The 13,873-nt window shown below is 37.0% G+C and overlaps 1 long non-coding RNA gene across 2 annotated transcripts in view, besides 1 other annotated feature; it reads left to right on the top strand.

The window, feature by feature from the left end:
* The window catches only part of LINC01483 (long intergenic non-protein coding RNA 1483), a 309,014-nt gene that overhangs the window by 283,533 nt on the left and 11,608 nt on the right, over window positions 1-13,873 (top strand). Inside the window, exon 5 of one of the 2 annotated variants that reach the window (NR_109971.1) lies at window positions 1,447-1,536. The exons of the other annotated variant lie outside the window; for it this stretch is intronic. This is a non-coding gene — a long non-coding RNA (long intergenic non-protein coding RNA 1483). The remainder of the gene's footprint in view (window positions 1-1,446; window positions 1,537-13,873) is intronic. 2 annotated transcript variants of the gene reach the window in all.
* Window positions 696-896: a silencer, noted in NCBI's record as "peak2973 fragment used in MPRA reporter construct". NCBI's record gives its function as "represses an SCP1 promoter by STARR-seq MPRAs in K562 erythroleukemia cells {active_cell/tissue: K562}" and the evidence as "EXISTENCE:reporter gene assay evidence [ECO:0000049][PMID:32103011]".

Raw genomic sequence — 13,873 nt, forward strand, 5'->3', positions numbered from 1 at the left:
AACCATTTCATACCATATACAAAAATTCACCCCAAATGGCTCAAATACTTAATTGTGAAAACTAAATTTATTAAACTCTTAGAAAAAAAGTATAAATCTTTTTCACCTTGGATTAGACAACTGATTTTAGATATGATACCAAAAGTTCAGGCAACAACAACAACAAAATAGATGAATTGGACTTCATTAAAATTGAGACTTTTGTGTTTCAAAGGATATCATCAAGACAGTGAAAAGGCAATCCACTGAACAGAAGAAAATATTTGCAAATTATGTATATCAAAAGGGACAAACATGCAGAATATGTAAAGAATTCCTGCAACTCAACAATAAAAATATAAAAATCCCAATTTAAAAATAGACAAATGGACAAAGTATTTGAATAGATATTTCTACAAAGAAGATATATAAATGGCCAATAAACATGAAAAAATGTTCAACATCATTAGTCAGTAGGGAAATGCAAATCAAAGCCATAATGAGACACCCCTTCAAACCCACTAGAATGATTATAATTGTTTTTTTTTAAAAGGAAAATAACAATTGTTGGTGAAGATATAAAGAAATTGGAACTCATATACTGCAGGTGGAAATGTAAAATAGTACAGCTGCTATGGAAAACACTGTGGTGGTTCCTCAAAAATTTAAATATGAAGTTACCAGATGATTCAGCAATGTCACTCCTAAGTATATACCCAAGAGAACTGAAAAACATGTCAACGCAAAAATTTGGACATGAATGTTTGTAGCAGCATTATTTATATAGCCAAAAAACTAGGAAGAACCAAAATGTCCATCAATGGATCAACAGATAAACAAAATGTGCTATGTCCATACAATGGGATTATTCAGTCATAACAAGAAGTACTGACACATGCTGCACCATGAACCGACCTTGAAAACAGTGTGCTAAGTGAAAGAAGCCAGGCACAAATGGTTATACATTCTGAGTCCACTGATGTGAAATCTCCAGAATATTCCAACCCTTTGAGACAGAAAGATTAATGTTTGTTAGGGGTTGAGGTAGGGGAAAATGGGGAACTACTGCTCATGAGTACAGTGCTTATTTAGGGGGTGATAGAAACGTTCTGGAATTAGACATTGGTGTTGGTTGCACCATTTTGTGAAAATACTAAAAAGCACTAAACTATATAGTTTAATGGGTGAATTTCATGATATGTGAATTATATCTCAAAAATGTAACTTGTCAATTACTCAAAAGCTTTCAGGCTTGGTAGTAAGAGCTTTTTTTGCATACTTTGGTTCATACTATTGTTATTCTTACATAATGCAGGAAATTTTTGTCATGACACCTCCTAGAACAATTCTTTTGTTAATGACTCAATTCCCATTGGAAAACTATTAAAGAGGAAATGAAAAATGATGTGTTTTATTTAAGAAATAATACTACTCATTATTCATTGTCTTCTTTCTGGATTTTCTCAGTGCTTGAACATGAAAGACAGAGAATTGACCAGAAGCAAGCGTCCTTAGAGTGGGGTCGTCATATTTGAGAAATGTGCTACAGGGATCTAGGTATGGTATTCTTTCAAGACTCAGCCTCTGCAGTCTTGAGAAAGGGCTGGCATATGTTTTGAGAAGAAAATGTGTAGATAGCTTTTTTTGTTTTGTTTTTGTTACTTTACCAGCAATATTTATTTTTGGAACCAGAAATATATAGGTTGACATGTAATGCCATCTTAAAGATCATGATGAATGATGAGCTACTGGGAAAAGAAGGCTTTGGTGTCAGCTCATTGGCAGACTAGAGAGCTCCCAGCCAGCAAAGATGGAGTTTGGAGTTCTGCAAAAAGAATAGAGTAATTTTGATCTCGTTAGGACCAGATCAAAAACAATTGTCTTTTTGATCTGTGTTTTTAAAGTATTCATATGTAAAAAATTATCTGTAATAATAAGACATACTAAAAGGGGCATTATTCATTGCATATATAATCTGGAATAGCATCTTTAATGCTTCTATGACATTTTTAATGTTGTTTAATGTTTAACTTTTAATAAAAAAGGAAAATTCATATTTGACCTTAAAATGCATTAGAATATATAGCAATTTAAGCAGCAGATTTTCTTCATTGTTTTTTCTTCATATAATTAAGTTATATCAAGTTTGTGTAGGATGAGGCCATTATCTTCTAATGCTGGAAGGCCAAGTGGTAAAATACTTGTGGTATTATTCTAAGAGGATGTTGCATATAGATAATTGACAAATGATTGCATTTGATGTCTATTTAGTGATGACATGACAATAATGAAAATATATAATAATACAAGGATAAATTAATAATGATGACATCCATTTTCTCTTTTTGGTGAAGCTTATTTACATTTGCATAAAATTTTATAATTGAATTCTGGCTATATATAGCATCCTTTGTCATCCGACTTTGACCAAATAGGGTCAGGTTGCTGGGGCTGTTATCTCTCATTTAATTGTATGTTTGCAACTAGGTATTCTTTTCTGCTATGACCCTGATATTTGAATGACTAATAGGCACTGTGTACTGAGAATATAATAATGAGCAGTTAGATATCATCTGTGCATTTAAGTTATAAACTCTATGGGATAAACAAACCACCAAGAAATTCAAAAAAAATTGAGATTAGAATGATCACAGGAGAAATACAGAATCCTAGAATGTGAGGCAGCTAAAGATTTACCCAAGATGAGCCTGGCAAGTAAGGTAGAACCCTGGCTAATCAGAGTTTTAAAAACCAGGTCAAGGAGTTTAGACTTTGTTCCAAGGACTAGCAGAAACCATTAAAGAGTTTTAGGTAGGAAATGGTATAATTAGACTTGCAGTTTTGAAAGGAGACACTGTTTGTATGTGTTGTAATAACATAATTTATTATCTAGATCAGGGCAGTTTGGAGAATAAAAAGTGGTGTCATTGCTAATTATGCTGAGACTACGGGTATTAAAACTCTTGCTGCCCTGGACAACCTAGGACATACAGTCACCCTATTTACAGGGAACTGCAATGGAATTAGACTGGTACATGAAGAAAAGTTAGGAAAGAGGAAGATAATTTTAACTATGATGAGACAGTCAATAGAGAAAGAGATAGACAAATATGATAGTTAACTCAGAAAAATGAACATAAAAAGTTGGTCATGGATTGAATGTGAAAAAGGATAGAAGGTTAAGAAATCTACCAGGCATCTGTCTTGTAAAACTGAATGAGTGCTGGGGACATTTACTGAGATGGGGAATGTTGGATAAGTTTTAGAGAGAAGGTGATAGTTTTAGATATGTTCATGTTGAGCTGAAGATAACCATTAGGCACTGACAAAGAGCTGGTATCAGGATTTACACAAGCTGGTCCTTCACATAAGCAGCTGCCATCTGAGGTGGTAGCTGGCCTGCAGTGACGGTGTGGGCCGCGGAGCACTAGCCATCACCCACGTATCTCTAGTACACTCATGGTTCTAGAAATATCAAGCACTCACTGTATTCCCCACTCATCCTGATTGTGTGGCTCAAAGACCAGAAATGTAGTCTAATTCTGGATTTTTATCCTGATTTATCTGGAGAAATGCCTTAAGAACTTCTCCTCCCAAGCAAGATGTTTGGAGATGTCTAGTGTGAAGGGTGGTTAAAAAAAAATTTTACAAGCTGCCCTTTTGGGATCTGACAGTCCCGATAAATTAAGACGCAATGTGCTTGACGATCAAAAGTGGTAAGATCTGATGTTGATGGATGGTGCATTTTGCCTTGGATACAATCAACTCTGCCATAAAACCAGTAAAGATTATTACTGTTTCTCAGGGAAGAAGTAATTTAAGATTCAATATGGGAAGTAAAATAAAATTTGAATACTACAGGCTAAAAAATAATTTTGTGTGTGTGTGTGTGTGATAGGTGGAACTTCACTTTTCATTTTATACACAAAAGCCCCTGTAGAAGCGACTCCATTGTCTTGTTTTTATCACTTATTCTAGGTAAATTTGGCTCTTGAATCTTTCAATTTAAGTCCATTTTGGATTTTGAAATGAAAGATGAACAGAACTCAAGTACACATGTGTAGGTTAGACACTTGGAAGGTGATGTGAAATATATCAAGAATATTATATGTACTTTCTTATAAAAGATATTCAGCTTTGTTTTGTTTATTGTTTATCTTTCATTTTTGGGTGGCCCAATTTTCTTCAGACCTGACCTCTGCACTGATGGAGTATTCAAAACTTGAAAGAAACTATACAAATATTATGAATGTGCATGCCCATGTGTGGATCTTTGAGTTGCAAGAACCTTTTATGTAGGGCAAACATTAGTATTCCTCATGTTTAAAAAAAATGGAAAAAAAAGGTGATATGATTGTGACTTGTTGAAGTTCTGAAATTAACTAGGCAAAGGACAATTCGAAAGGCAATTGTCCCTGTCTTTTGTATGAAACACAGCTTTGAGATCAGAGGTGTTGGTTGAGAGTGTTTCCAAAACCCAAGTGTGGATCTTGTTCACGTGTGTTTAGCAAATCTCAATGACTGAACTTGGGCATTGCAAGAGCTCCCTTGGTCCCCTCCCCATACCCCACTGGGATGCACATAATACAGCTGTACTCACCTTGAGGTTGAAATAGGTGTAGAGCTGATGAGTTGGAGAAAAAGTCCCCAGCATTCCAGAATTAGATTTATCTCTTGTCACTTTGCTTAAAGTATGCAGGTGTTTGAGGGACTTTGAGAATCATAATACTATTGCTTCCTTTCATATTAATAACAGAAAAACTTTTTATTATAACAATTTATAATATTACCTTGCTCTAAATTACTAGAAATATTTGCCATAGTCTCATTCCTTTTTCATGGGAAAAATGTGTAGGATTATTTATTAATACTTCTAAGCTTCTCAAACAAAAAAATTCCCAATTTGTTCAACTCTGATTCATGTTTCATAGATCTGAAAAACTGTAGGGCTGACTCAAAGCTATTTTTAAATGGCCATATCTTCAACAATGACATTTATGAAAAATGAGCATCTGTTGTAAAATCTGCAACATGAAGATAACTTCCAAGGTTCTTTCCGGCTCCACAGAAATTCTATCAATATTTTAATTCATGGGATCTGACAGTCCTACGGTTTTACTTTATAAAACTATTAAATACCTGAAATATTAAGAAGTAAACTTCTCTTTCTCTCTTTTATTTTTTAATTTTTATTTTTTTGCTGTTATCATTGGATGCTAGAAATAAAGTATTTTTGTTTCCTTAGTCTTGCAAAGTGGAAAGTTTTAAAATAAAGAAGTCAGGCCTGACACAGTGGCTCACACCTGTAATCCCAGCACTTTGGAAGGCCAAGGCGGGCGGATCACTTGAGGTCAGGAGTTCGAGACCAGCCTGGCCAACATGGTGAAACTCCACCTCCACTAAAAATACAAAAATTAATCGGCATGGTAGTGCACACCTGCGATCCCAGCTACTCGGGAGGCTGAAGCAGGAGAATCTCTTGAACCCAGGATGCAGAGGTTACAGTGAGCTGAGATCATGCCATTACACTTCAGCCTGGGCAACAGAGCAAGACTTCATCTCTAAATAAATAAATAAATAAATAAATAAATAGATAAATAAAATAAAAAAGTAAATGCCTTGAAAAGAAGAATCCTAAATGATCTAGTCTTGGAAATTATAATTGGTTAATTAAAATCGGAAGGTGCTGTGTTTGGTCACTTGTCCTTGTAGAGACACAGCCAATGAAGCAGATGAAAAAAAAAATTCTCTGGCCTCATACTAATGGTATTTCATTCATAAAAAGAAACTGTGCCCTGAGATTTAATTGAGTGGTTCCAGGGCCATCCCAGCAGAAAATCAGCTGGTTGGGCTTCTATATAAACATGATGACATGTTGAGGGCGGTGTTTACTTTTTTCTAATTAAAGCAAATTAGAAATTCCATTATATTTCTGCAGTGATTTCTGACAGCAGCATGCCCTGGGAAATACTCATGGTACTTCTCGAGTAAGGCTTTCTTCCATGCCACATTCATTTATTCCCTTCAGTTTTTAAACTCATCCCATGCTCTAAGTATTGAAGCCGGCTCTGAGACCTTGGTTTTTCAGGATCATTTAAAAACAAGACTGCAGGACCCAGCGGAATTCAGACCAACTATTTGTGATGACGTTTGATGTTTTCAGCCTTGGTAGTGGTTCTCTTGAGACAAGTCACTCTGTTTTCTTTCCCTTCTTCAGTTCTGTCAACTTTCATAATATTGAGGCAAAACCTCCAGTTGAGTACCCAGTTTAGCAACGAGTAATCTTTTGCAGGGACCCACACTATTAACAGAAACAATTAAGAAGCCAATGAAAATACATCAACTGCACAGCAAAAGCAGGTACTTGTCATGCATGGTGAAGGGCTTTGTTTTTCATTAATGATACTCTTTTTTTTTTTTTTTTTTTTTGAGACAGAGTCTCGCTCTGTTGCCCAGGCTGGAGTGCAGTGACGCGATCTTTGCTCACTGCCAGCTCCGCCTCTTGGGTTCATGCCATTCTCCTGCCTCAGCCTCCCAAGCAGCTGGGACTACAGGCGCCCACCACTGCGCCCGGCTAATTTTTTGTATTTTTAGTAAAGACAGGGTTTCACTGTGCTAGCCAGGATGGTCTCGATCTCCTGACCTCGTGATCCACCCGCCTCGGCCTCCCAAAGTGCTGGGATTACAGGCGTGAGCCACCACGCCTGGCCAATGATACTCCTATTCTATATTTTAAAACCATCATTCAGAGGCTAGAGGTGTGTGAGTTTTGATTTTTTTTAAATAATGCCCATTGTACATTTATGTAATAGCTGTTAAGAAGGTCTCAAAATTCAATGCCACGGCACACTAAAATTCTGTTTAATGAGCTGCACATTTAAGAAAAAAAAATAGGAAGCTCACTAAAATGTTGTTCATTTCCAAATTCATAGTCACATTTTATTGTCTTAACCTTTTCTTTAACTTATAATTTCAAGGCTAAATTTTAGATGCCAGAAAACTTCTTACAAGGAAACTTATACTCAGGGGATCTCCAACTCATTGCCAATAAGAAGAGTTCACATAAAGACACAGGAGTTCAGATAAAGTTACACAAGGTTTAGAAAAGTATTTAAATTTTTCCATGTTCCTCTAAACTGAAACTGGACTCTGGGTCTTGATGAGCTAATATCTAAAGACAATGTCAAGTTTACAAAAGAGGATGTCTTTTGTAAATGAGACTTCTAGAGGCAGAAAATGAAGAATTTGACACATTCTGAAGCCTTCTAAACTAAAAGGAAAGAACAGGTCTGTGACTGTAGCAAGAACTGGGTTGTTCTGGAAACCTTGATATATTAAGAAAGTGGAAGTCAGGTATTTATCTGATATGTGTTATTATCAATATCTCCAAGAAAATTCAAAGTGCAAATCATATATTAAAATCAAAACTTGAATGTCAACTCTAGGTATAGGTATAAGGGATTTTCAAAGGCCTTCTCTCTTTTTCTTCTAACTGCTTGATTGTAGCTCAGCTGATGCATTGGAAAAACGGAATAGGAAGTGAATTCATCTCCTGAATTGCAACAGGAGATGAAATTTTGCTCAATTAGATTTGTAATTGTTGTAACCTTTAGCAGTTCTTGTGAAGATAATGGCAGGGAAAAAGACTGAATGGAATTTTTCAGACTTTATTTTCTTCATTGTGCTCAAGTGTGTCTTGTGTGTCCAAAGATAATCAAGAATTGGCTGTAAATAAAATTCGGTCTCAAGGAAAGATATCCCTCTCCTCTCCCAGGTTCCCAGACCACCTGTTCATGCAGTCATGGAATTTCTCCTTTACTAAAATGAGCTTTATATAGTCAAACATCTCATAAAACGGGAGAGGGGCCTGTGAAATAACAGGAGAGAGTATTTAAAGGGTCTGACTTACAGAAATGCGCCCAGATGAGTTTGGCCAATTGGGGTCAGTTAAGCCTCCCCTGACACCAGCCATTAGTAATATTTTCCATGCACTAAGTAAAACAATGGAAATTCATCACATCTGGTTGAGCCTCCAATACCTATGCAGCTTGTAATGGTTTTTGCAATCTTGATATGAAACAGCACCGTGGCACTCAACGATAGATTGTTAGTGAGCAAAGAAGGCACACTTGTTCCAAAACAATGAAGAGTTGCTTATTACCATTTCCCTTAGATGCCTCCCTCTGGTTCATGTTGCTAGAGCATTTCATCTTGATCCAAAGAGAATTTGGGGTTATTTTCCTCCCCTACTTCTTCCCCTATCTTTAGAGCAATCAGCAGTAAACCTCTAGAAAAAGAAAAAAATCATTCTGTATTTCTTCTGGGGCACCACACTTTCTTATTGAAAAGTTTTGGTTGGCTGGATAAGTTTCTTTGAAGGTAAAGAAAAAGAGCTTGAAAAGATTGATGAATTCAAGAAATATTTGCCACCTTAGAGATCTTGTTCTTACCTTACCTTTTCTTTAAGTACTTGAGATTTAGAAAAAGGACATCGAGCATACCTGAATGGTCCTTAAGCCATGTACTTGATGTTAATACTGAAGAATGATGTTTTAAAATCCCAATGTATCCACCATTGTTCTCTTTGAGTAGAATCAATAAATAAGTTTCTTATAGGTTACAGAAACAATAGCTCAAAGAGGCAGAGTCTATGTCTATCTTGTTCACCATTTCCAACACTCATCAAGCCACAAGGAGACACTCAATGCATGTTTGTTAAATGCCTGACTGTTACCTAAGTTTTCTTCCTCTGAAAACAACTATATTTGTAGGTTGTAGTGTTAAGGCACTCAATATCACATTGCCAATGTGAAGGATATAGGACTAGGCGTCAAAAGTACTATTGCTAGTTCTAAATTTGTAGTAATTACAGTAATAATAATAAGCATTTATTAAGAGCTTAAAATTATCATGCATTAACTCATTTTTTACCCATAATGTTGTAAAGCAGGTATTCATACTATCAACTAAATGTTTGGAAAGCAGATATTGAGGCATGGAGAAGTTAATCAAATCACAGAGCTAGTAAGTGGTGAAGTCAAGATTTTAATCCAGAGCTTTTTCTCTAAATATAATATTTTGCAAGTAAAATAGTTGTGTTTTGCTAAACCAATCACTTTGCACTTTAGTGGCTACCTGTATGAGATTAGCATAATCTTACCTACCTCAGAAGAACAGTACAGATGGGGGCTTCAAACTGAATATTTATGGGTACATTTTCCAATATAAATATGTATGAGATAGTTTACTGTTTCCAGGACGCTTACATTACCATCAGATGTCACAGGACTTGGGGGCCAAGATAGAAACGATTGAGATCTCCCTTTTACCATCGTTCAAATTCACATTGTTCTGGGGACAAATGATATTCTTCAATAAAACAGGAATCTTTGTGGCATAAATTCTTGGAGCAAAGTAGCATACATAAAATGTTTCTGTTTGTAAAAAAAAAAACACCTCTCATATGTTAAGTTTTTATTTTTAGTTTCCATCTAGACCAGTAATTTTCCATTTCCTTCTTAGGAAGATTTTCTTAATGCACTCACACATTCACACACCCCTGCACACACTCACATGTACACACATGTACATTCACACGCACAGATTCTCATGCGTACTCACCCAGAGGCATATATACACACATGTCCCTGCGACAGGGTGACAATGTGCCTGATTGCTTGTTGGTGGCAGATGGCGATAGAACATGGTATTTCTGAAGACATGCCCAAGGTTTCCAGGTGGTCAGGGAAAATTCCATAGTTTTATCTTCTGAGGTCTTTGAGTTAAGGAGGGGAATTTTTATTTTGTTTCCTTTTAGGAACAGATAAAGAGAATAATACAATTTCAGGGATTGACATAAATTAATCCTTAAGTCTGATGTATTTGGGAATGATTAAAATGATGGTATTTAAGGTCACTACTGATGTTCTTGTCACACTTGTATTGGTGGACTTTTACTCAATTTCACTATGAATTATTGAGATGTTGTGATACCAGTTTGAAAATATGTGTGTGTGTATGCATGCATGCGTGTCCTAATCCTCTTTGACTTCTTCAAATGGCGGACAAGTAGTCCATCATTGAGATTGTCTCATAACCTACAGAAAATATTAAATTAGCTCTATATCAAACATTAAGCATACAAGCAGGGCAAACTGATCCCAGAAAATCCTTTGTGACATGGATTTTAAAATTGCACTTACCTCGGCCAGGTGGGGTGGCTCACACTTGTAATCCCAGCACTTCGGGAGGCCAAAGCAGGTGGATCACTTGGGGCCAGGAGTTTGAGACCAACCTGGCCAATGTGGTGAAACACTCTCTACTAAAAATACAAAAAAATAAAAATAAAAATAACCGGGCATGGTGGCATGCACCTGTATTCCCAGCTACTTGAGAGGCCGAGGCAGGAGAATCGCTTGGGCCCAGGAGGCAGAGGTTGCAATGAATGCAGATTGTGCCACAGCAGTCCATGCTGGGCAACAGAGTGAGATTCTATGTCCAAAAACAACAACGACAACAAAAACCCACTCACCTTATGTATAGTTACACTGCCTTATTTTTTTTCTCCCTGAAATTAGCAAGCAAAAATAGGATTTCCTTCTCAATTTGGGCAACAGCCTTTCAAAGGTCCATGGCCTTCATCTTGTGTGTTGATTTTTCTTCTTTCTCAGTGCCTACCCACTTTTCCTGGGATAGGTGATTTTCTTCTTCTCCAGGACTGGCTGTCATATAGCATGGGAAGATTTACTAACTGGCGTCTAAGGAAAAGACAGCAATGTGTATTAAAATAAGTCAATATAAATGAGTTGTCTATGTACATAAATGAGTTGAACATAATCTTCACTGTTGAATAATGACATAATTCCCTTTCCTTGATTGACAAATCAAAAATTCAGGACTGTAGACTTTTTTTTCCTAGCTCAATTTGATCAATCAATACTTAAGGCCACACAGTGCCAAAATCAGCATCTGTGAGTGTGCGTGTATACACATGTGTAGCAGTTGTGTGGCGTGAGTAGGGTGGACACTAATAATTCATATTTTAAGTGGGTGCCCTTTCATTCTGGTTGCCTTTCAAGGCCTTTTTTTGTTTGTTTTTCAAAGACTTATTTTAATACACATTGCCATCCTAGCCTTTGACGCCAGTTAGTAAATCCTCCCAGGACTTACCTTTAACATCAGTTTTCTCAGCTTCTATCAATAATATCCTCACATAAAGGCTTATTAAAGATTCAAATTGTGGCCGGGCACGGTGGCTCACGCCTGTAATCCCAGCACTTTGGGAAGCCGAGGCGGGTGGATCACAAGGTCAGGAGTTTGACACCAGCCTGGCGAATATGGTGAAACCCTGTCTCTACTAAAATTACAAAAATTAGCCGGGTGTGGTGATGCATGCCCGTAGTCCCAGCAACTCGGGAGGCTGAGGCAGGAGAATCGCTTGACTCCGGGAGGCGTAGGTTGTAGTGAGCCAAGATCTCATCACTGCATTCCAGCCTGGGTGACAGAGTGAGACTCCATCTCAATTAAAAAAAAAAAAAAAAGATTAAATGGTGTATCTTGGCGTTTGGAGGACCAGGAGTAGCACAGAGAGGCTGTGAGCGCCAGGGCTGGGAATCAGGAGCTCATGCCCTACTGTGCATATCCCTATGAGTATTTGCAAGTGCCACAGCCATTCCAGTCCTCAATAAAATCAGGATACGGGAAAACAAGTCCTGATGATTATTTCTAGTTTTAACAATCTGTGAATCTAAGCTTTAAAGCAGTATATTCAGAATGTGAGATATTTCGTTCTCCTTAAACTTGACTGTTATCTGTAGATAAGGCAGGTTGAAATCCATGGAAGTAGGTGTGCCCACACACCGGTAAATACAGAGTCTGATGAGATAGGCTAATTAAGCATGTAGACAGAAAAAAGTCACCTTGAGTGTGGTCAGATTTTTTAAAATATACATAATTTAGCCGCTTCATGGTCTTGTTTAGTCACTGATTTAGTTACTGTGTTTTTTGTACTACCTAGTACAAGAAAGAAGTTTCTGGGTAGGCTCAAGACATTTGGAAAAATAAGCTAAATAAATACATATTTAAATTAAAACTAAAATTAAAATAAGTTAATAAGAAAAAAATTTGGAAAAATAAATTAGATTCCCCCCTCCAAATATTGATTGAGCATCAATTAAGTGAGTTTCTAAAATGTGAGAAATTAGATGTTTAATCAATAAGTAAATAACGTAAACACAGCGTCCCTTTAATCTTGGAACTAACAATTTCTTTGTGAAAGGAATCTGTGAACACTTGAATGACAGTGCATTATAATAATACATGAGCACCTGAGGATGTAGTGATGCAAGAGGGAAATGACAGTTGCCTACAACAGTGGAAGGAAGGGGCAAAGAAAGATTCTAAGCAAGTGCCATACAAACTAAACACACCTTCTTCAGAGAAGGGAGATACCATTGTGGCCTGGAGTGGGCAGAATTTGGTCTAGATCTGGATGATTTGAGGATAATTTTTTTTATGTGGGAAGAAAAGAGAGATGGAATATGAAGGGGGAATGGCATGAACAATGGTATAGAAAAGGATTTGCGGGATTGAACGGTCCAAGGACAAGAGCAATGGATGATAATGTTGGAAAGGTATATTGAATGGGACATCTAGGGAGATGTGAACGGTGAGCTTAACCTATGGATCCTGCAGCACTGTCCAAGTTTTGGGGTGCAGAAGAGTGACACTGTGATTCAGAAAATCAAGAGACTGGAGACTAATGAGTGCAGCATAGTCCAGATGTGGTAATAATTAAGTAAGCTGCTGTCATATCCATGGACACGGAAAGGAAAAGAGTTATGTGGGCATATTTTGAAATCAGATATACATATAGTATATCCTTTCAAGCCATCAAAACATATCACAATTTTGCCTTAAGTTTCCAAATACATCTTTCTTCTTTGATCTCTCCTCCCTTCTAAAAAATCTGATTGCACGAAAGTAAGGTAAATATAGAAAAAAGTAAGTGCAGATATCACAAGCTGAAATTAAGAGCCAGAGAATTTCAGTTCTCTGAAACTGAGTCCTCATGAGGAACCTAGGTCAGTTCAAGTGCAGATTAAGACAAAGGGGTGGGAACCTCTGTGTCCAAGAACAGGAATCAAAAGCAAGTCAATAAGGCGGCGAACAGCTATCTTTGGTTTATTTTTAACTCTTCTGCCCTGCCTCTTTTGTACATACGCGTTGTCTTTCTTACAGTGGAATTACTTTGCTCTTGCCTCAGAAAGCTCTAGAAAATCAACGAGTTTCTGCTAAGTTGGTAGACTAGAGGGCCATATCTCACATATCCCACACTGCGTTCTGGTTTAAGCTATCCTCAAAAGATCAGGATTTCACATTATAAAAGGATCCTGAACTAATTGTTCTCTGAGTTAGCTCTAACTAAACTGATTTGAATCCCAAAGTAAAGAGAGTCTATAAATCTCAATCCCAATTTCAAAGCGATCAGGAAAGATGAGTCCAGCCTCAGTGGTGCATGGATACCCTCAGAAGCAGGGTGACAAAAGTGTGGATTTTGAGCATCCAAAATGTTTGGCCCTTAGTCATGGCTAATAAAATATTCTCTAAGTACCGATTTTTAAAAATTTAACTTTTGTAAAGAGCGTTTTATGAGTGATGCTGTATTAGTATCTATTGCTGCATAACTGATTGTTCCAATATTTAGATGCTTAAAACAATAAATGTTTATTCTCTGTTTCTCTGTATCAGATATTTGGGCATGGCCTTACTGGGTACCTCTGGCTCAGGATTTCTCTTGAGCTTGCAAACAAGGTGTTAGAAGAGGTTGTATTCATCTCAAAGCTTGACTAGTGGATGATCCACTTCCCAACTTGCTCATATGGCCCAGGTCCTT

This window comes from Homo sapiens, chromosome 17 (genome assembly GCF_000001405.40).
Source record: "Homo sapiens chromosome 17, GRCh38.p14 Primary Assembly".
Lineage (NCBI taxonomy): Eukaryota > Metazoa > Chordata > Mammalia > Primates > Hominidae > Homo > Homo sapiens.